Genomic DNA, 20,558 nt, shown 5'->3' on the forward strand with positions numbered 1-20,558 from the left:
GCACGCGCCATTTTATAGTGCGCGCCGCTCGCAAGGCCGGTCCTCGGCGCCAGCCCGCGCTCCGCCCGAGGCGTCCAATACACACGCCTGTTTGGGAAACCCCATTTCATGCTTAGGGAAAGGAATACTGCCTGCTTCCGCTAGAATCTTCCTGAACAAGCGAGGAGACGCTGTCTCTGGGGCTGACAAAAAGGGGCAAGGATATGATGGAAACGATTGTCTTGTCCCCTGCGTCCGGCAATTCTGAAGACAGCATCAAAGATGGGCCGTGAAGAGAAAGGACCCCGAGGGCGGCCCGACACGAGAGAGAATCCGCTGGGACTATTTGCGCGGCAGGGGCTTGAGCTGAGTGAGGCTGCAGAGGCGGGGCCCAAGCCGAAGGGCCGGACCCAAATTAAGTCCCAGCCACTGGGCTGGAGGCGGGGCCAGTGTGGAGATTGACAGGGGGCCGTCCTGGGAAAGCGCCCACGTGGCGCAGAATTAGAGGCGGAGCCTACACGGTGACGCAAGGGCCGGAAGGAGGGACCCTGTGTCTGGAGAAGCGGGAGATGGGGGCCTGGACCCCTGGGTCTGAGGGAGGAGGGGCTGGGGTCGTGATTCCCGTGTTTGGGAGAAAAGGGGGTTGGGAGCTGGGACTCCTGGGGCCGAGGGAGGCCTTTGGGGCTCCCACTCAGTTTTGACGGTCTAAGGCCTGGGGGCCTGGATTCTTGGTAGGGTTGGAGATCTCAGGAGTGTCTTTCCACTGATAGGATTATACATTCTTTCCACTTATATGATTATTTTGAAAATTAAAAAATGAAACTTCTCTACTCCAAACTCACTTTCTAGGAGTTTCACTGTCAACAATTTGGTGTGGACTTTATGTTTTCTTTTTTCAGATGGAGTCTTGCTCTGTCGCCCAGGCTGGAGTCCAGTGGTGTGATCTCAGCTCACTTCATCCTCCGCTTCCCGAGTTCAAGCAATTCTCGTGCCTCAGCCTCCCGAGTAGCTGGGATTACAGGTGCCTATCACCACGCCCAGCTAATTTTTTTGCATGTTTAGTAGAGACAGGGTTTCACCATATTGGCCAGGCTGGTCTCGAACTCCTGACCTCAAGTGATCTGCCTGCCTCAAACCTCCCAAAGCACTGGGATTACAGGTGTGAGCCACCACGCCTGGCCTGGTATGGACTTTATATATATATACACACACACACACACACACACACACACACATATTATGGATAAAGATACTTTTTTCCACTCTAATCTGTCCCATAAGTTGTTTCCCCACATGAGTACGTACAGAATTATCTCATTCACTGAACAATGGCAACGGGCTCCTTTGTGTGAATTGAACACGCTTTGTTTAGCGGGTCCCTGGTCATTTGGGTTGTTTTCTTCTTTCTAGTGAGGAGATTCCTTTCATGAACCTTGTGGTCTGGAGTAAAAGAAGAGACCTACATTCCTCTCTTAAGGCAATGAGAGACGTTTATGTCACTGGCTGCTGCCTCACTTTAGCATAAAAGCAAAGTCCTCGCTGTGACCCACACAGCCCTTAGTGATCTGGCCCCTGTCCCCTCTCAGCCTGCATCTCTTTCCTCTCCTTTGGCCTCCCTGGTGCTCCTGGAACCTGCCAAGGACGTTTCTACTTCAGGGACTTTGCATGTACTGTCCTCTCTGCCTGGAACTCTTTTCCCCCATCTACATGGCTTTCTGCCTCCCTTGGTCCTATCTCTGCTCAGATGTCATCCTGGAATGGAGTCTCCTGACCTCCTTGCCTCCACTTTATATGACTGTGAGGCTCTCTTGTTCCGAATCCCATCTCACCTACCCTCCTATATTTTTCGTCATAACATTTACCTCTAACCTATTGTCTGCTTTATTTTATTTTATTTTTTGAGACAGCATCTCGCTCTGTCACCCAGGCTGGAATGCAGTGGCATAGTCATGGCTCACTGCAGCCTTGACTTCTCAGGCTCAATCAATCCACCTGCCTCAGCCTTCATGTAGCTAAGACTACAAGAGGACACCACCACGCCCAGATAATTTCTGTATTTTTTGTAGAGACAAGGTTTCGCCTTGTTACCTAGGCTGGTCTTGAACTCCTGGGCTCAAGCCATCTACCCACCTCAGCCTCACAAAGTGCTGGGATTACAGGTGTGAGCCACCATGCCCGGCTCTAACTACTTGTTTATGGACATATTTTGCTGCCTTGCTGAATGTCAATTCCATAAAGATAAGGATTCGTGTCTAGTTTGATCAGTGCTATACATCCAGTGTCTAGCATATGGTTGCAGCTCCATCTGTGTTTAAAGATGAAATTTGCAGCGAGGAGTGGTGGTTTAACCCTATAATCCCAGCACTTTGGGAGGCTGAGGCAGGAGACTGACTTGAGCCCAGAAGTTTGAGACCAGACTGAGCAACATAGACCCCATCTCTAGAAAAAAAATTTAAAGTTAGCCAGGCATGGTGTCACATGCCTGTGGAGCCAGCTACTCAGGAGGCTGAGGTGGGAGGATTGCTTGAGCACAGGAGGTTGAGGCTGCAATGAGCTGTTGCACCACTGTACTCCAGCCTGCGTGACAGAGAGAGACCCTATCTCAAAATTAAGTAAGTAAATGAATAAATTTGGGAGCCTTTTGCAGGAGACAAGGGGGAGGATTATTGCAATAGTACAGAAAGAGCACACACTATGGACCAGGCATTGTGCTAAATCCTATCTAGATTAAAGTACTATTATTATCCTCATTTTACAGATGGGTTCTACACCTTGCCTGTGGTCACAGAGCTACTAGTGACAGAGCCTGGACTCAAAACCAGGCAGCTTAGCCACTGTATGAGAGGGAGATAGATGGCAGCCCCAGGCCAAGGCCCTGTAGGACAATGATATGACTTTGTACTTGGCTTTCAACTCTGCCCTGTCCAGGAAATGGCTCTCTGTTAGCCCCAAACCATCTTCAAAGGGCCATTACACAGCCTTGTGCTGGGGGACTCTGGGGAAAAGAAAGACGGGGTGGTGGTAAGAGCTACTGTTAAGCGTAGGAGGTGAAGTGTGGGTGCAGGGGGAATTTGCTTCCGGAAGGGTAAATTATTAAGGACTGCAAAAATAAAGGATGAAGCTAAAAGGGCTTGGGGAGAATGAGATATTCGGCAAACACTGATTAAGCACTATCTGTATGCCAGGGACCATTGGCTCGGCCTCTTTGTTGACCTTGTGCCTTGAGTCCCTTACTTATGAGTCCCTTCCCTTCCCTATCCCTCTACCCCAGAGGGCCCAAAGATGGCCCCAGAGAGGGGTTTCAGTTCCACCAATGCTTCCAAGGCTCAGAGCTAAATTAAAGAATATTCTGGGCAGAAAATACAGATTATTTTAAAAGAAAGATTATTAATCTGGATTGAGGCGGGTCAGAAGAGACTGAAAAAAGATGAGTCTTCATGGGGTTAGGGGCCAGAGAGCAGGGTTGTCAGCGTGGGGTTAGGGGCCAGAGAGCAGGGTTGTCAGACACTTGGCAGAGAGCTGTTGGAGCAGGCCAGCGGTGAGATCATTCGCGTGTCTTAGGTCCGGATGGGCTGGAGCGCCAGGATAGACCAGAAGTACATGTAATTCAGATAGGACAAGAAGCCTTGTGGAGAGGAAGAGGGCACAGGAGATGAGACACAGAGTTCACCCACCCAATCCCAATCACAGTCCTGTCCCCAGGCCCAATTGCATGCCCTGCTCTGCATCAAACCCCATCCCCAAACCTATTCTTAAACCCATCACCAATTCCATTCCATACCCTAACCTATTCCCAAACCCATCTCCAAACCGAAACTCACCTTCATCCCCTACACTGTCCCTAACCCATACGCAAACTCCAACCCAGTCCCATCCCCATTATCCAGCCCCATGTGCATCCCCAATCCCGCCTCCCACTTCAGTCACTTCCTATCTAGCCCTGTCCACAACCCCACCCCGTCCCAAATGCTATCCCAAATGCTATTCCTGTCTGCATCCCTGAACCCATACCCAAAGCCAACCTCATCCTCTCCCATACCAGTCATCAGGAAGAGGAAGACACTGGCCCAGGTCAGGTAGAAGCTGAGTGCCAGCTGGTAGGTCATGCCTTCCTGCAGGTACCTGTGGGCCTGCAGCAGGTAGAACAGGATACCCAGTACGATGCTGGTTCCTGCATGAGCACAGGTGTTAGGAGGCTGAGAATCAGATATGTAAGGACTCCTTCCCATAGTCATGTGGCTGCCTGGCTCTGGCTCATTATTTCCCCACTTTCTTTAACCTCCCAGACCCTGTACCTTTGCTCCTAAGCATGAAGATGGGCTTCTGACCAAGTCCTGCTAGAGGACACTGAAAGGGCAAGCCTTGGGCTTTAACCAGGCAATGGTAAGTCTGTAACCACAGGTTTTGAGGCCAACAGCAGGGATCTTCCCTGCCTCCACCTCTGGACTTAGGGCAGCCATGCCATATCTCTGAGCCTCAGTTTCCTCATCTGTAGAGTGGGCACAATCATAGGACCCATCTCCTTGGGCCGTCATGAGGAGTTACTGAGGTTGGCACATTTCCTGATACACAGCAAGCCCTTAGGGATTGGGATTGATTATTTTCATTCTATTGGGTCTTTAATTTAGGGCTTCAGAAGCAATAGACAAGGAACTTGGTCATTCTGGATATATTGGAATGACATGAATTAAAGATAATTTGTGAATAGGAAAAGACTTTTTCCCCTGGACAGTGGAGTACTGGGTAGTTTTGTCTGATGTTATTGAAAATAATATAGAAGGTATTTTTTGTTTAATTAAAAGGAGGAATAGACAGAAATGGTTTTCTTATAGAAAAATGTTCTGTTATAGATGGTTTAAAACGAAGGTGTTTTTTATAGTTTTTAGAAAACTCATGCTTTTTTTGCGCAATATTCTATACCTTGTACTTTATATTTAAACAATTAGGAAGAGCTACTAGATAAACTGCATAAATGCTTTTTTTTTTTTTTTTTTTTGAGACAGAGTCTCAATCTGTTGCCCAGGCTGGAGTGCAGTGGCGTGATCTTGGCTCACCACAACCTCCGCCTCCCAGGTTCAAGCAATTCTCCTGCCTCAGTCTCCCAAGTAGCTGGGACTACAAGCGTGCGTCACCACGCCTGGCTAATTTTTGTATTTTTAGTAGAGATGGGGTTTCACTATGTTGGCCAGGCTGGTCTCGAACTCCTGACCTCATGACCCACCCACCTTGGCCTCCCAAAGTGCTGGTGTGAGCCACTGCACTCGGCCAAGTACTGACATTTCTAATTCAATCCTCAGTACGTTTCCATGTGGTAGCAAATTTTGTCCTGATCCTACAGATGAGAAAACTGTGGCTTGGAGAGATGAAGTAGCTTGAACAAAATCACAGAGCTGCTGCTGCTGATGGGACAGGATTTGGGATGAGGTTAGAATGGGAAATAGGATTGGGTATTGGGTAGAGGTTGAAGTTTGAGTGTTAGAGGACGAGGTTGAGAGTGGTGTCAGGAATAGGTTGCAGTTGGGATGGGTTGTGGTTGAAGGTGGGTCGTAGTTGGGGTGGGTTGTGGTTGGGGGTGGGTTATGGTTAGGGGTAAGGATGGGTTGAAATGGGGTAGTTTGTGGTTGAGGATGGGTTGGAACAGGGATGGTCTGGTTGGGGGTGGGTTGGGATGGGGATGGGTTGTGGTTGGGGATGAGGATGGGGATGGGTTATGGTTGGAAGTGGATTGTTGTGGGGATAGGTTATGGTTGGGGGTGGGTTGTGGATGGGATGGTTGTGGTTTGGGTTGGTTGTGGTTGGAGTGAATTGTGGTGGGGAAGGGTTGTGGTGGGGATGGGTGGTGGTTGGGGGTAAGTTGTGATGGGAGTGGGTTGTGGATGAGGATAGGTCATGGTTGGGGATGAAAATGGATTGGATATGGGTAAGAGGATGGAGTGGGGAATGGACTAGATTGAGTTTGGCATTGAAGTTCACAGGTGATAGAATTGGGTTGCATTTGAAACATATGTTGAGGATGGTTGGGATGCTGCAAAGTTGGTTGTTGAGATGTTTGAAGAGGTTGCGGATGGTAATGAGGATGGTTTGGTGATTGGAAAGAATGTAGAATTGGGATGGAGTAGGGGCATGAGGGAAAGGGATGTGAATGAGTTTGAGATTTGTTGGTGATGGAGATGGGACTTGAAGTGGAGGCTGGTATTGGGGCTGGAGATAGGGTTGGGCTGGTGGTTGATGTTTTTTATGGGAATGGGTTAGAGATTTGGAAGGAGATGGGGTTGGGATTGCGGATGATGGTCAGGATGGGGATGGGATTGGAGTGTGGTGGGGATGGGATTGGGTTTCATGATTGGCACTGGAGGAGGTACTCCTCGCCTTGGTTCCTGAGGGAAGTGCCATGCCTGTCAGGATGCTGGTGATGAAGGTGAAGAAATCCAGCATGGACGGGTTGGAGCCGGTAAAGAGGATGGTGCTTATTAGGGCTATGCAAAGGCAGAAGCTGGTGATGCTGGAGAAGAGGAGGAAGGCCCAGGAAAGGTCCAGCAAGTCTGGGGAAGGAAGATAATCAGGAACACCATGATTGGCCCAGGCTCTGAGTATGGGGACAAGGGTCACCAGTTGGTGTGGGAGTATTCTCAAAGCTCCTCCCTTGCAAATTATTTATTCTCATTTTAGGAAAATTTAAATTGGGCTCCAGAGAAGAGACATTGAGACTGATACTTCCAGCACTGAGGATCTACCTCTAGGTTGGTGAGGGCAGCTTCTTGGGCAGTGAGAAGTGGGGTGGGCAGTGAGGAGCATTCCCAGAAGTGAGGACCACTCTAGGGCTGTGAGGACAATCCTAGGGCAGTGAGAACCCTCTGAGGCAGTGAGGACCGTCCCAGTCATTGAGGACCATCCGAGAGAGTGAGGACTATCCCAGGGAGTGACGACCATCCCAGGCAGTGAGGACCATCTCAGGCAGGGAGGACCATCCCAGGCAGGGAGGATCATCCCAGGCAGTGAGGACCATCTCAGGCAGGGAAGACCATCCCAGGCAGTGAGGACCATCCCAGGCAGTGAGGACCATCTCAGGCAGGGAGGACCATCTCAGGCAGGGAGGACCATCCCAGGGAGTGAGGACCATCCCAGTCAGTGAGGACCATCCCAGGGAGTGAGGACCATCCCAGGCAGTGAGGACCATCCCAGGGAGTGACGACCATCCCAGGCAGTGAGGACCATCTCAGGCAGGGAGGACCATCCCAGGCAGGGAGGACCATCTCAGGCAGGGAGGACCATCTCAGGCAGGGAGGATCATCTCAGGCAGGGAGGATCATCCCAGGCAGGGAGGATCATCTCAGGCAGGGAGGACCATCCCAGGCAGGGAGGATCATCTCAGGCAGGGAGGACCATCCCAGGCAGGGAGGACCATCCCAGGCAGGGAGGACCATCTCAGGCAGGGAGGGCCGTCCCAGGCAGGGAGGGCCGTCCCAGGCAGTGAGGACCATCTCAGGCAGGGAGGACCATCCCAGGCAGGGAGGACCATCCCAGGGAGTGAGGACCATCCCAGGCAGGGAGGACCATCCCATGGAAGTAAGGGCCATCTCAGGCAATGAGGACCATCCCAGGGTGGTGAGGATAATTCTGGGGCAGTGAGGATTATTCCAGGGCAGTGAGGACCATCCTGGACCAGTGAGTACTATCCCAGGGCAGTGAGAATCATTCGAGAGCAGTGAGGAGTATCCCAGGGCAGTGAGGACTATCCCGGAGCAGTGAGGACCATTCTAGAGCTGTGAGGACTATCCCAGGGCAGTGAGGATTATCCTGGGGCAGTAGGGACTATCCTATGACAATGAGGACCATCCCAGTGCTGTGAGGACCATCCTGGGGCAGTAAGGACCATCTCAGTCAGTGAGGATCATTTCAGTCAGTGAGGATCATCCTGTGGCTGGGAGGACCACCCTGGGGCCGTGAGACTCATAAAATACCTGTGAAGATCATTGCAGGAAAGGAAGAAACCATTCTGTGACAGGTGGAGGGGTCCCTGGGATAAAGTGGAGCGATGGGTCCCAGGAGTGGTGAGGGCAGGGCAGGCCTTCCAAGCATCCTGGCTGTGCTCATGCAGGCAGGAGATGTCACAGCACTGCTTCTCCTCCCCCAGAAGTCTAGCTCAGAACTTGGCCTCCGGCCTGGGCACTGCCTCATACCTGCCAGAATTGATCTCAATGGAGCTGCACAATGAGAGGTTTTGCATGTTGTCTAGAGGACTTTGGTTGAGTTCAGAGCTGAGCACACTTGCCTTCAGACTCTCCTGGGACTCCCAGGTAACTGATTCAATGCTTTTGATACTGGGCTCGGGGCCGTAGGTAAGTGATGGGAGCACATTGACAATGGCCCAGGCTTGGAAGTTGGGGGTTGGAACACTTAAATGGGCAGTCTCGGTTGTTGACAGGTAGTTTTGGTCATGATCTTTGTTGCTGGGGATAATTGATGATTAGTCAGGGGGTGAGAGCCTTGGATACTGAAGCAGCGAGTTTGGAAAATTGGTGAAGCACCTCGCATACTGAAATCGTGGCTGTAGGTAATGGCTGGTGTTTCTGGGATACTGATCTGTTGACTGCTGATAGCTGGTGTAGGGTCTTGGATACTGACCTGGTGATTGTGAATAATTGGCAAGGGGTCTTGGATACTGACCAGGCGATTGCTGCTGGCTGGTGGAGGCTGTTGGATACTGACCCCGTGACTGTTCCTGGCTGGTGGAGGGTCTTGGATACTGACCCGGGAATTGTAGGTAATTGGCACCACCGTGCCTGGCTAATTTTTTTGTAATTTTAGCACAGATGGGGTTTCACCATGTTGGTCAGGCGGGTCTCGAACTCTTAACCTCAGGTGATCCACCTGCCTCAGCCTCCCAAAGTTCTGGGATTACAGGCATAAGCCACTGCGCCTGGCCCTTATTATTATTTTTTAAGGTATAGAAATCTAGAATTTTTTTTTTTTTTTCTGAGACAAAGTCTGGCTCTATCACCCAGGCTGGAGTGCAGTGGCATGAGATCTCGGCTCACTGCAACCTCCGCCTCCCAGGTTCAAGCCATCCTCTCACCTCTGCCTCCCACGTAGTTGGGACTACAGGGGAGTGCTACTATTCCTAGCTATAATTTTGTATTTTTTGGTAGAGGTAGAGTTTTGCCATGTTTCCCAGGCTGGTCTCGAACTTGTAAGCTCAAGCAATCTGCCCACCCCAGCCTCCCAAAGAGCTGGGATTACAGGCATGAGCCACTGTGCCCAGCCTTAGAATTTTTAGGTAGTTTAATTTCTTCACCTTTGTCTCTGTGACTTTATTAATTGCTTCTTGGCTTCGGGAGGTTCTCCCTCCAGATTTTTGATGAACATTCAGTTCTGTTTTTTTAAATTCTCATTACTTATTTTTAGGTTTTGATTGTGATTTTGGAGTTGGTATGCAGGGAACATTGAATTCTGTGCTCCCTGCTGTCCTAAGGAAGGGACTTGAATTAGTCAGGAGTTTTTGGGTCACAAGTGACACAAACTCTTTTTTTTTAAATTTTTTTTATTTTTTACTTTTTTAAATTTGAGATGGAGTTTCACTCTTTCACCCAGGCTGGAGTGCAGTGGCGTGATCTTGGTTCACTGCAACCTTCACCCCCCGGGTTTGAGCGATTCTCCTGCCTCAGCCTCCGGAGTAGCTGGGATTACAGGCGCCCGCTGCCATGCCCGGCTAACTTTTATCTTTTTAGTAGAGACGGAGTTTCACCATGTTGGCCAGGCTGGTCTCAAACTCCTGACCTCAGGTGATCCACCTGCCTCGGCCTCCCAAAGTGCTGGGATTACAGGTGTGAGCCATCGTGCCCAGCCACAAGTGACACAAACTCTAACTTGAACTAGCTTGAGTGAACTAGTTGTATTAGCTTGAGTGAACTAACTTGAACTAGCTAGGGGATCCTTTATGGGATCACCTGAGTGAAAAATGGTAATGGTAGGAATGCCTTCAGGCATGGGTGGATCCAGGGGCCCAAGTGATAGTATCAGATATTACTGTTTTTTGGCTATGGGATTGGCTTCATTCTCAAGGCTCTGTGTAGTGGCAAGTCAGAATCCAGTAAGGAAAATAAATCATTCCAGATTCTTCAGAAGGAAGTAAATACAGGGAATTTGTTCGTGAGTAACAGAGGAGCTGAGAAGCCAATAGGAAATAGTGAGGCAAACCAGGAGTTAGGAACTACAGGATGCTGCTACTTGGCCAGAAGGACAAAGGGAGGAGGTGGTATTACTACAGTCCAGAAACTGCAGCCCTCTGGAACGCATAGGTTCATGGTTGGATTGCTCAGAAGTGGCTAGAATCAGAGAATAGATACAACTACTACGGAAGACCCACCACATGCAGAGATAGAGAGGCTAATAAATACCCTGGCTTGCCCTCTCCTCCCAGAACCAGTCTTCTGCCAGTGCCTCCCATTAGTCAAACACAGTGATAAGATGGTGAGCAAAGGAGGCTGGGAAATGTGGTCCTTGCAGTGCAGAACAGGACAGGGCGGGAAATGGATCTGAGAGCAGACAGACAAAAAACTGGCAGAGTTGTTAGCAACTTGGCAGAGTTGGTAATAACTGCCGAGTCCGGTAGAAAAAAGTTATCAACAGTTCTTGCAAGAATCCTGTGTGGCTTGGGGCACATGAGCACCCCGAGCCAATTATATGGCCAGTGGAGTACAGTTGGCTGATTGGCTTAAGACTGGGGCTGAGAATGGGGAATGGGCAGGAGGTGAAATGCATGGTGGGGAGGTAAGCTGCAAATATCCACTCATTCTGACCAAATCACAGAGTGGGCTGCTCTCTGGGATGACGAGAGCCAGGGACTTCAGTGTCAGCTCAATGCTCTTTCGCTTGTCTGTTTTCCTTCTTAGTTTTACTCTCCCCATGAAGCTAGGTCCAAGGCTTAGGCAGCTTCAGGCTTGTAATCCTTGAGGAGAGACTGCTTTTCCTTGACAGCTTCCTAATAAAAAGTCTTGGGGCAGAGCTTGATTGGTTGGGCTTTGGTCATGTGTCCATCTTTGGGCCAATTGCAGGGTCTGCAGCTGGGGTACTGTGATTGGCTCAGCCAGAATCACATGATTACCTCTGTGGCCCAGAGGCCAGCATATGCCAGGAGAATCCCTCATCCAGGGTTATGTGAGTTGGGTGGAGGGTGTCCCCAAGAGATGTCAGGCTGCTGTTCTGGGCAGACCAAATTCACCATTCAAGGTCTTGGTTTCTGGCTTGGTGCCTTCTCCCTGACCTCTGCTTCTTGACTCTTCAATGAGCAGAAAGAACTAAGGGAACTGGCTGGGCATGGTGGCTCACACGTGTAATCCCAGCACTTTGAGAGGCCAAGGAGGGAGGATTGCTTGAGCTCAGTAATCTGAGACCAGCCTGGGTAACAGTGAGACCCCATCTCTATGAACAAAACAAAACAAAAACAAAAAACCAAGGGGTCTGATATTTCCCCCACTTCCCAGAGTGCTGTTGCTCTTCTGTATATATGATGATCCTTTATCTTTCTTGTTGGGTATTAGAGATGTGCAGTTTGCCAGAAACAAAGCAGATGAGGTCTTGGCCTATTTGGCTAAAACAATTTTGCACTGTTGAAAAGTAGACAAAGTAGAAAAAGGGCTAAAAGGAGGAGATGTAGCATCTCGGAAACAGGTAAACCTCTCTTCTGCTGGAAGTCTAAGTTGGATAAATATCCACTGTAAACTGGAACTAAGCTTTTGGGCACATTGGTTTTAGAGTATTTGACTTGAAAGTTTTTCTTGTGTGCAAATCTGTATGTGTTTTGTGGGGGCTCTCAGGTGTGAACAAGAGATGACATTAGGATGTCTGAGGAGATTCTCGGCATGTGAATGGGGCCACTAGGGGACCTTGGGGGGTGACTAGCAGAGACTAGAGCAGAAGTAGGGTGACTTTGGAGAGGACTGGGGTGACCGTGGTGTCTTGGATAACTTTGAGGGTGCTGTTGAGGGTGTCTGGGAGTGAAACTGAGGATACTAACATGAGTTGTTATGAGACACCTTTTAGGAGTTCAAGTAGGGTGACCAGGGGTGTCTGTGGGGGTGGTTCTAGAAATGATCGAGGCTGGGCTCAGTGGCTCACGCTTGTAATCCCAGCACTTTGGGAAGCCGATCACCTGAGGTCAGGAGTTTGAGACCAGCCTGGCCAACATGGTGAAACCATGTCTCTACTAAAAATACAAAAATTAGGCTGGCGTGGCAGCAGCTGCGTGTAGTATCAGCTAATCGGGAGGCTGAGGCAGGAGAATTGCTTGAGCCCAAAGGCAGAGGTTGGAGTGAGCCGAGATCACACCACTGCACTCCAGCCTGGGCAACAGAGCAAGACTCCATCTTAAAAAAAAAAAAAAAAAAAGAAGAAGAAAGAAAGAAATGATTGAGGTGATTCTGTGGGGTAACCTTGAGGATGAGTGGGATGACCTTTGGGGGGTCCTCTGTGGGGTGACCTTGGGGGGTGTGTGGGATTATGAGAGTGTCTGAGAATTGAGTTTTAGGTTAAGTAGGGGTGATTTGGGACAACTCTAAGGGTGTGACTGGGGGATGACTTTAGGGGTCCCTGGGGGTGACCTTGTGAGTGAGATTGGAGTTTCTTTGGGGTTTCTAGGAGGTGACTTTGGGGAGGTGAGTAGGGGTGATTTTGAGGATGTGCCAGACTTTGGGGTTGTCTGTTGGGCTGCTTGTGGGTATCAGCAGAGATGACTTTGGAGGGTGACCAAGAGGGGTATCTGGGGTTGACTCTGGGGCCCCTGTCCCCCTCTCCCCAGTTCTCATCCATATGAGCAAGGGCTTCATGTTACTGGCCGTGGCCCTGTGCTGAGTCCTCCTCCCGCCCATGGCCCTCTCCTCCTGGCCAGTGGTCCTCCGCCTGAACATGGCCGACTTTGTCTTCAGTTTCCTCTGCCTCGGCATTGGTAGGTGTTGGCTTGGGGGGCGGGGGCCCTCCCTAACCCCAGCCCTGCTCTCTGGCTTTCTGGAGGTGTATCTAGACTTCCGTGCTGCTCCCCTCGGGGCCTCTGTCTTAGCATGTCTCTGGGGAGCTCTGACTCAGTTCTACTCTATCTGTGGGATGTCTCTCTCTCCCCCACTCTCTGTTTCCCTTTCTTTTTTTGTCCCCTCTCTCCAGGTATCTTTCTGTCTGTTGTGAGGGCGTGTGTGTGTGTGTGTGTGTGTGTGTGTGTGTGTCTGCTTGTCACGGAGGGTGGGAGAGGATGTCTCAGTCCCTCTTTTCTTACTGGGGGTCATAGGGCTCACTGTCCAGCCTTCTGTCTCTGGCCCCACCCCATTGCAGGGCTCCTGATTTCTCTTCAGCCTGACGCTCTTTTCAGTTAACGGCAAGGCGGTGCACCCAAGTCCGGTGGTGTCCTACCTGGTGACCTCCTACCTGTGCTGGGACGCCAGCGACTTGATGCTGCACTCCGGTGAGGGCGGGGCCTCGGGAGGAGGGCGGGGCCTCGGGAAGCGGGTGGGGCCTAGGGTGGGACTCGGAGTACAGCGGCCCACCTAGCCATCTCCCAGGAGCCGTGTCCTACCTAAGCCCAGTGGGCATGTGAAGCAGAGGGCAGCCCTTGAATGCGCGGCGGCTGAGCTACCGCGGGTGGGCCGTGCAGCAGGGCGCAGCGAGGCGGACATCCAAACAGCGGAACTCAGACGCTGACTCCGAGCGCACCCCGGGCCTTCCCATTTCATACACCCTCGAGGATGAGACCCAAGCACCTCCAAGGAATAGCACCCGAGGTCTTCAGGACACCGACCGGTAGCCATGGCCAGATGCCCGGCCAACCCCTTCAGCGTGGCCACGCCCTGGATATTCGACCTCCCCTGAGGCCCCACCCCCTGATATCAGGCCACGCCCTCCGAGGGGACCGGTGGCAAACTCCAGCCCTCGCTCTAGGGCCCGCCCTTTGCGGCTTTGTCCCTGCCCACTGGGTCCTCACAGTACCTCCACCCCAGAGGCCCAGCATCCCCTCCCGTTCTGCAGACACTTGTCCAGCGTCCCGCTGAGCTCGGCAGTGTGGCTAGTTTGTGTGGCCCTGCCCCTGGTGCCCAGCCAGGGTGGTCTGCATGGAACTTCTTTCCCGGAGTTCCGGCCTCAGCTCCGATGTCCACCCTTGTCCCCAGGTGGACACAGCACCGCCCAGCATTTGGTGCAACTCCACCCTTCTGCAGAACGGGCCCCTCCCTGGGAAGGCATGGCTTGCAATAACATCCCTCTGTACCTTTTCTGGCTTCCCCGCCACAATAAAACCTCTCAGCCTCAGACCTTCCATTGCCCCCCACCTCCCCACCAGGGCAGGGTCCATCCTAGTGTGAGTGAACTGTTCTGGCGTCCCTGACTTGCCCTTTGGGATCTGAGCCTTTCCCTGCCTGTTTGTCTGCACCTGTCACAGCCCCTTCCTTTCCCCACCTGCTGGTGACCTCAGACTTCCAGGCATGAGATTGACACAGCTGGGGTGGCCCCAGCCTCAGCCGAGTGGGTCCAGGTGCACCACATCTGGAAAGATAGGTGATGGCAGAACGTGACACACATTGGATGCACATTTGATTTTACTGGGGGTAGGGGACAGGGCTGGGCGTTCAGGAGTTCTCCGCTATGGTGTCCTCGATCCACTTCACATAAGACAGCACTCTGACGGCGACAGAAGGCTTATTGGGGGTGCCACAAGGGACGTAGCCCCATGATGTGACACCTTGGAGCACACCATCACACATCAGCGGGCCCCCTGAATCACCCTGGGAGCACAAGGTGGGAGGGGAGAGTGAGAAAGGTCTACGGGGCCCAAGTTCTGCCTGGGGAGCCCCAGCTCGCAGACAGGGCCTCCAGTGCCCACTCCCAGAGGAAGGTGGGCAGGGATTCCCACAGAGGGGACAGGGTCTCCAGTCCTGGCCAAGGGGGAAGGGACCTCAGGGTCCAGCTCCTGCACATGGGGCAGGGTCCAGGTGGACAGTGCCTGCAGACAGGTTAGGGGGAGGAGGGGCAGGACCATCTGCAGGACGCTGCCCCTGCGGGCACATCGCAGAGGCCACCTCTCCAGGACTACTCTCTGACTCGACGGTAACAACACATTACCACGAGGAACGGTGAACTCTGGTGTGGGGGGTGAGATGCAGTTGTCCCTGGATGGGCGGGGGAAGGAGGGGGAGCTGGGGCACTGATGGGGCGAGTGGCTACAGCTAGCTGGGAAGCAGTGAAGCAGATGCCTGGTTAGCTCTCAGAAGCCAGTTCAGAGGCTGAGTCCCCTCCCTCAGCCCTTCCAGACCCTGGGGGCAGGGCTGCCTCACCACACAGGTGTCTTTGCCACCTTCCAGGTGTCCGACACACAGCATGAAGTCTGTCACCTTCTGGACGTGGGCTTTTTTGCACTCATCATTAGGCAGGATTTTGAGGTCCACACACTGGAGATCATCTGGAAATGAGACTACGAACCCGGGAGAAAAAGGGCTGCAGCCCGACCTCACCTGCTTCCCTGGCCCTTTCTCCCTTGGACGCAGGAGTCCCCATCCCCGCCTTGGGCTACACAGTCTGCCCCCACATACAATTCTCTGGTTCGATGCTGCCCCAGCCGGAAGCCAAACAGGTGCTCCCCACTTCGGGTTCCTCGGTGGGCAACTCCACGACCTTCACAGCATCTGTGATGGTATCAGCAGGCTCTGTCAGGCGGAGCAGCATGAGGTCGTGGCTGTAGTCCTCGTCTGCTTGGCGGGTGTGGTTCTCCAGGAGGCTCATGTTGAAGCCAGGGTGTGGGAAGCTCTCACTGACATGAACAAACTGGGCTGTGTTTTCGTCGTCAAACAAGTTGTGGCGACCCAGCCAGAGCTGGTAATTGCTGGGGAAAGATGGGAATGGAGGGATGAGAAGACGGGAAGGGGAAAAGGGGATGGGGCAGGGGAGCATGGGGGAGGGTCCCCAAAGAGAGAAAGGGAAAGAGAAAAATGTGGGTGGGCGGAGACAGAGGAAGAAAGATATAGTTATGGAGAAATACAGACAGCGAATGGGAAGATGAAAGATTTTGAGAGTGCAAAAGGCAAATGAAGAGACAGAGCAAAAAAGAGCTCAAAAGGACAGAGGGGTGAAAAAGGCGGAGGGGAGGGCAGTGAGAAACAGGGTGAGCAAAAAAGAGGCAGATGAGAAGGATAAAAGACAGGGACAGCGAGAAACAGGCCCAGGGAAGAGGGAGGAAGAGGGAACAGAACACGGAAGGGAGCGAGAAGCAGACAAATGAAAAAGGACGCGGGACGTCAGAGTGAGAACTAGAAACAGAGGCAGAGAGGAAGCAGGAGTGACCGAGTGTGGGAGAGAAAAGGGAGGGAGGCCCTGGGGGAGGGTGGGGGCAGGTGGGGAGGGTGGGGGCAGGTAGGGAGGAGGGGAGGCCTGAGAGCGGCTCAGCTGCAGCTGGGGCTGTGGTGCGGGCTCCCCAGGGGCAGGTGGCCTGGCCTGAAGTCCAAGGTCGAGGCCCCCTTCCCTTCCCAGCACCCTCCCGCGCGTTTCTCGCCCCGCCTCCTCCTTCCTCCTCCCTCAGTTGCCCCACCCAGCTCCCGCTGAAACCAGCCCTTCCCTGTGTCTCTCCAGAGTGGAGGGATATCCTGTGGGGCGGGGAGCTGGACAGAGGGAGAGGCGCCCCCTCCCAGGCACACAAGTTGGGGATAAAGCCCTTCCTTTACTCTGGGGCCTCCCTTAGGTCCATCTGGGTGTGTGTTTAGTAGGGATGAGGGAGCGGTGAGGTAGAGACCCAGAGAGAGAGAGATGGGTAGAGAGATGGAGGGTGAGACACAGTGACAGAGATGCCGCAGAGAGACTCAGAGACAGACAGAGACAGGGGAGATGCAGAGACAAGGAGACAGAGGAGAGAGAGGAAGACAGAGACCAGAACACAGTCACACAGAGACACAAGCAGAACCAGATCCCAAGAGACCCAGGCAGCCTTGGAGAGGGGTGTCCAGCCCAGCTCTGCCCTGCCAGGCGACCTGCGCCAGAGCCTTCCTCTCTGCCTCAGCCCCCCAGTCTTGCCTGAGGTTATCCAAGGGGAATGCCACTGGCCTGTCAATCCTGTGGCAGCATAGATGCCCTCCTCCCAGACCCCAGGCCCCTACTCACTCGCTGATGCAATGAGCAGCTGTGAGCACCCACTGGCGGTGCACCAGGATGCCCCCACACTGGAAAGTGCTGAAATGGTACAGAGCCGCCTGCCAGGGCTGGGAATGCTGCTCACACTCCCAGCCTCCCACAATCCGGGACTGAATCGGGGGCGCAGCACCTGCAGAGGCGGTGCTGGGTCAGGAAGGGCAGGGTTGGCAGGAGAGGCCAGGGACAAGGCTAGGAGAGGGAGCTGGGCTGTGGGTCTGAAGGGACATTGCGGGTAGAGGACCAGGGCTGGAGGTTGGGGACATGGGCAAGGGGTGTTGGGAAGGGGTGGGACTCTGGACTGTTCCCTGGGCTTTTGGAGTGGTGGCTGGACCTGGTGGGGAGATTTTGTGCTCTGACAGTAGAGCAGCCTCCAGGGATCAGGGTAGGAGACAGGAGACAGTGTCTGGAGCAGACACTGCATCTGGGCGTCAGGTCATTTGGGGTCTGGGGCTGGGGGATGGGAGGTGGTGGGTTAGGGGAGTGGAAAGGGATTCTGGAAACCAGGGATCAAGGCGCCAAGGGTGGGACAGGATCAGAGGCTCACTGAGGAAGAATCTGGAGGGCTAAGGGGCTCCTAGGCTAGGGAAACAGGACCTGGGTTGGGCTTTTGAGGTTCAGGAAAGGATGCAGCTTTAGGGAACCAGGTCTGAGAGGTAAAGAAGAGCATCTGGACTGAAGAGTTTGGGGGTGACTTGGGGTCCCTACATTGGGGTTGGAAGGGGCCAGCTTGGCTGGGACAGTTAGATTTCAGGGCTTCCTGGTTAAAGGGTAAAAGAAAGGGCTATGGTTAAGGCTAGAGGTGGGCTTCCGAGAGGTTTTGGGGTCCTTCCTGTGAACCAGGAATGGCAATCTGAGGGGAGGTTGGGGCCCTGAGAACACAGTTGCGGTCAGGACTGGGACGGGGCTCAGGAGGAGGGAGGCGTGAGTGGCAGTCCTTCTCGGACAGGGTGAAGGATGGGATCTTCGTTTCTCATGGGGATGGGGTTCATGGTCTGAGGGTACTGGAAGGATATGGGGTCCTCTTGGAGGCAATCCTAGGAAGAGGATTGGAGAAGTGGTGAGAACAGGCGCCAAGCAGCTGTGGGAATGCAATGCAGGACCCACTTGACGTGAGGTTGTAGAATCACATACTGACTTGGGGGAGGCCAGGGCAGAAGCGCTGGCTGAGAAGGCATTCAGGATCCTTGGGGTGGGGTTCCAGAAAACCAGAGCTGTGTAGGAACAATTCAGGCAGAGAAGGGCTGGGGCCTGGGGCGGGATGGAACTTCCCCAAGGAAAGGAGCATGTGGTGGGAGGGTGTGGTGTTTTTCCTGGGAGAGCTGGGGGTGCTGGGTGGGAAGGGACATTTGCAGACCCCCCCCCATACCAGATGGGGGATCCCACATGCCAGTTTGGGAAGCAGGGTTTTCTGGTGAAATTTGGGGGACCCTGGAAGGACTGGGGAGACCAGATGTCAGGGTCTGGAGGACACAGTTGAGAGCGGACAGCTGGATGGAAAAAGTCACTGGAGTGTGGTGGGATTTGTAGACTCAGGAGCCAAATAGGTGGCCGCAGGGAACTAGGGGGCAGGAGGGGATGATCAGAGTCCTGTGGGGTGGGGGAAGCCCATGGGAGGGTTGGGGTCCTCCAGAGAGAGACAGAGATGGCCCAGAATCTGCCCCTTTGGTAAAGCGGTGGGACAGGGCGTTGGCTAGGGAAGAGGAGAAAGTACTGAGGCTTCCTGGGAGGAGCAGGAATCTGGTGTGGGAGTGAGCACTATGACAACATGGAGGAGCGGGGGTGGAAGTTTAGGGTGGGGCCGCGCAAGATAGATAAGAGCCGGGGCACCCCGGACTAGGATAGACTGTGGGCCAGAGGGATGAGGGTGGGGTGTTGGAGGGGAAGGTCTTATCGGGGGGGGATGTGAGGCCAGCAAGAGAATCAGGGCCCGTTCCCCCTCCCACATCCCCCCACTGTCTCACCAGTCCCCCCCAGGGACAGGGCGAGGCACAGAACCAGGAACCACATGGTGACAGAGGTGTCCAGGGGCCAGCAGGTGGAGGAACTGGGGAACCTCCCTGGGGAGGCTTTTAAAAGCCCTTATCCCCTCAGAGCCCCACCCCTGCCCTGCTGGCACCCAGATGTTGGCCAAGGCCCTTCCCCTGTTGCCTGGGGGCTGGACAATTGCCCCCCCCCCCTCCGATCCCCAGAGCTGTAGACGGGGAGGGAGAACCAGCACCTGTTCTGCAGGCCCTGGATCACGCTGGACGCATTCCTGGGGTTGAAGCCAGGTGGGGCAGGGCCTGTGGCTCTGGGGCTTTGCTCTGGGGAGCAGCCAGTGAGGCAAGGGGGGACTGAGGGGAAGCAGAAACAGGAAGACGGAGGAATCAGTGACCCCTGGTACAAAGCCCCATATACCTCAGTCTCAATTAAGGCCCTGCACCCCCAGACCTGGTGCCCTCAAACACCAGCAGTTAGGGCTCTGATTCCCTGCACCACTCGGAGCCAAGATACTAGCATCTCAGCTGCCAGTTCCCCCTGAAATATAAGCCTTGGCCTTCAGAATGCCCTGGTTCTTGCACTCCCAGACCCAGGACCTAGGTCCCCAAAGCTACTGTTCCTTTCATAATAAAATTTTGGGGTACACATCACCACATTCCTAGTGCCTCCAGATCCAGGAATGTGAAGTTTCAGGGGTCTCCCAGGGTAAGTTCTTTAGCATTACAAAATCCAGTGTCCCTCCCAAACAATGCTGGGGTCTCAATGAGCCTCCCACTTCTTGCTCCCAGTTATGGGTGCTCAACGTCCTGTCCTCCAAAGTCCCAGAGATCTGGACAACCTTCCCTCCCAGGTCAAGATCAGGCTAACCACAGATTCCAATGACCCTTCCCCCCCACCACCAGTACAATATTTAGGTCTCACGAGCCAGGTTCATGTACTTCAACATTCAGCGACCTTGAACATCACATTTTGTGGTCTCTGAAGATAATTAGGAACTAGATTCCTGCAGCCTCAATGGTAAACCCATAGGCTTCCAACAGGTTGTCTTGGCTTTTTGGTAAAATCAAAGCAGCTCAGAGTTCCAGCCTCTGCTGTATATCAGGGACCTGGCTAAGGAAAGGACAGTATTTGCCTTTTTGCCATGGCTACCAGGAAGCCCAGAACTAAATCTTTTTTTTTTTTTTTTTTTTTCTGAGATGGAGTCTTGCTCTGTCACCAGGCTGGAGTGCAGTGGCGCGATCTCGGCTCACTGCAACTCCTGCCTCCTAAGTTCAAGCGATCCTCCCACATCACCCTCCCAAGTAGCTAGGATTACAGTCGTGTGCCACCACGCCCGGCTAAATTTTTTTAGTATTTTTAGTAGAGATGGGGTTTCACCATGTTGGCCAGGCTGGTCTTGCACTCCTGACCTCAAGTGAGCCGCCCGCCTTGGCCTCCCAAAGTGC

General features: G+C 53.2%; 1 protein-coding gene and 1 pseudogene across 5 annotated transcripts, besides 6 other annotated features; one reads left to right on the top strand and one right to left on the bottom strand.

Moving 5' to 3' along the window:
* Positions 66-315: an enhancer, noted in NCBI's record as "active region_14999". NCBI's record gives its function as "activates an Ori minimal core promoter by ATAC-STARR-seq in GM12878 lymphoblastoid cells {active_cell/tissue: GM12878}" and the evidence as "EXISTENCE:reporter gene assay evidence [ECO:0000049][PMID:35858748]".
* TMEM277P (transmembrane protein 277, pseudogene) lies at positions 293-14,270 on the top strand (annotated as a pseudogene). 4 transcript variants are annotated; one of them, NR_197389.1, is made up of 6 exons: positions 293-500; positions 879-1,000; positions 4,266-4,362; positions 12,776-12,922; positions 13,337-13,429; positions 13,527-14,270. The product of NR_197389.1 is annotated as a transmembrane protein 277, pseudogene, transcript variant 2 (transcript). The 4 variants fall into 4 exon arrangements; NR_197390.1 differs by lacking the exon at positions 879-1,000 and having other exon boundaries at positions 13,300-13,429; NR_197391.1 differs by lacking the exon at positions 879-1,000 and having other exon boundaries at positions 13,300-13,429; positions 13,619-14,270.
* Positions 566-615: a silencer, noted in NCBI's record as "silent region_10979". NCBI's record gives its function as "represses an Ori minimal core promoter by ATAC-STARR-seq in GM12878 lymphoblastoid cells {active_cell/tissue: GM12878}" and the evidence as "EXISTENCE:reporter gene assay evidence [ECO:0000049][PMID:35858748]".
* Positions 12,764-12,823: an enhancer, noted in NCBI's record as "active region_15000". NCBI's record gives its function as "activates an Ori minimal core promoter by ATAC-STARR-seq in GM12878 lymphoblastoid cells {active_cell/tissue: GM12878}" and the evidence as "EXISTENCE:reporter gene assay evidence [ECO:0000049][PMID:35858748]".
* Positions 12,904-13,133: an enhancer, noted in NCBI's record as "active region_15001". NCBI's record gives its function as "activates an Ori minimal core promoter by ATAC-STARR-seq in GM12878 lymphoblastoid cells {active_cell/tissue: GM12878}" and the evidence as "EXISTENCE:reporter gene assay evidence [ECO:0000049][PMID:35858748]".
* On the bottom strand, positions 14,538-19,179 carry KLK1 (kallikrein 1). The gene is made up of 5 exons (NM_002257.4): positions 19,095-19,179; positions 17,104-17,263; positions 15,546-15,835; positions 15,291-15,427; positions 14,538-14,741 (listed from the first exon to the last, which is right to left on the bottom strand). The coding sequence occupies exons 1-5, from the start codon at positions 19,138-19,140 to the stop codon at positions 14,586-14,588; spliced, it is 789 nt and encodes a 262-aa protein (NP_002248.1). The 5' UTR covers positions 19,141-19,179; the 3' UTR covers positions 14,538-14,585.
* Positions 15,128-15,257: an enhancer, noted in NCBI's record as "active region_15002". NCBI's record gives its function as "activates an Ori minimal core promoter by ATAC-STARR-seq in GM12878 lymphoblastoid cells {active_cell/tissue: GM12878}" and the evidence as "EXISTENCE:reporter gene assay evidence [ECO:0000049][PMID:35858748]".
* Positions 16,371-16,440: a silencer, noted in NCBI's record as "silent region_10980". NCBI's record gives its function as "represses an Ori minimal core promoter by ATAC-STARR-seq in GM12878 lymphoblastoid cells {active_cell/tissue: GM12878}" and the evidence as "EXISTENCE:reporter gene assay evidence [ECO:0000049][PMID:35858748]".

The sequence above is a fragment of the Homo sapiens genome, chromosome 19, assembly GCF_000001405.40.
Source record: "Homo sapiens chromosome 19, GRCh38.p14 Primary Assembly".
Classification (NCBI taxonomy): domain Eukaryota; kingdom Metazoa; phylum Chordata; class Mammalia; order Primates; family Hominidae; genus Homo; species Homo sapiens.

What these genes read in the sequence shown, in the direction of transcription:
- KLK1 (NM_002257.4), bottom strand. Translation starts at nt 19,140, where the DNA reads ATGTGGTTCCTGGTTCTGTGCCTCGCCCTGTCCCTGGGGGGGACTG. An exon ending in GCTGCTCATTGCATCAGCGA is followed by an intron (nt 15,836 to 17,103) that starts GTGAGTAGGGGC and finishes ATCTTTCCCCAG; the next exon opens with CAATTACCAGCTCTGGCTGG. An exon ending in CAGCATCGAACCAGAGAATT is followed by an intron (nt 15,428 to 15,545) that starts GTATGTGGGGGC and finishes CCGGGTTCGTAG; the next exon opens with TCTCATTTCCAGATGATCTC.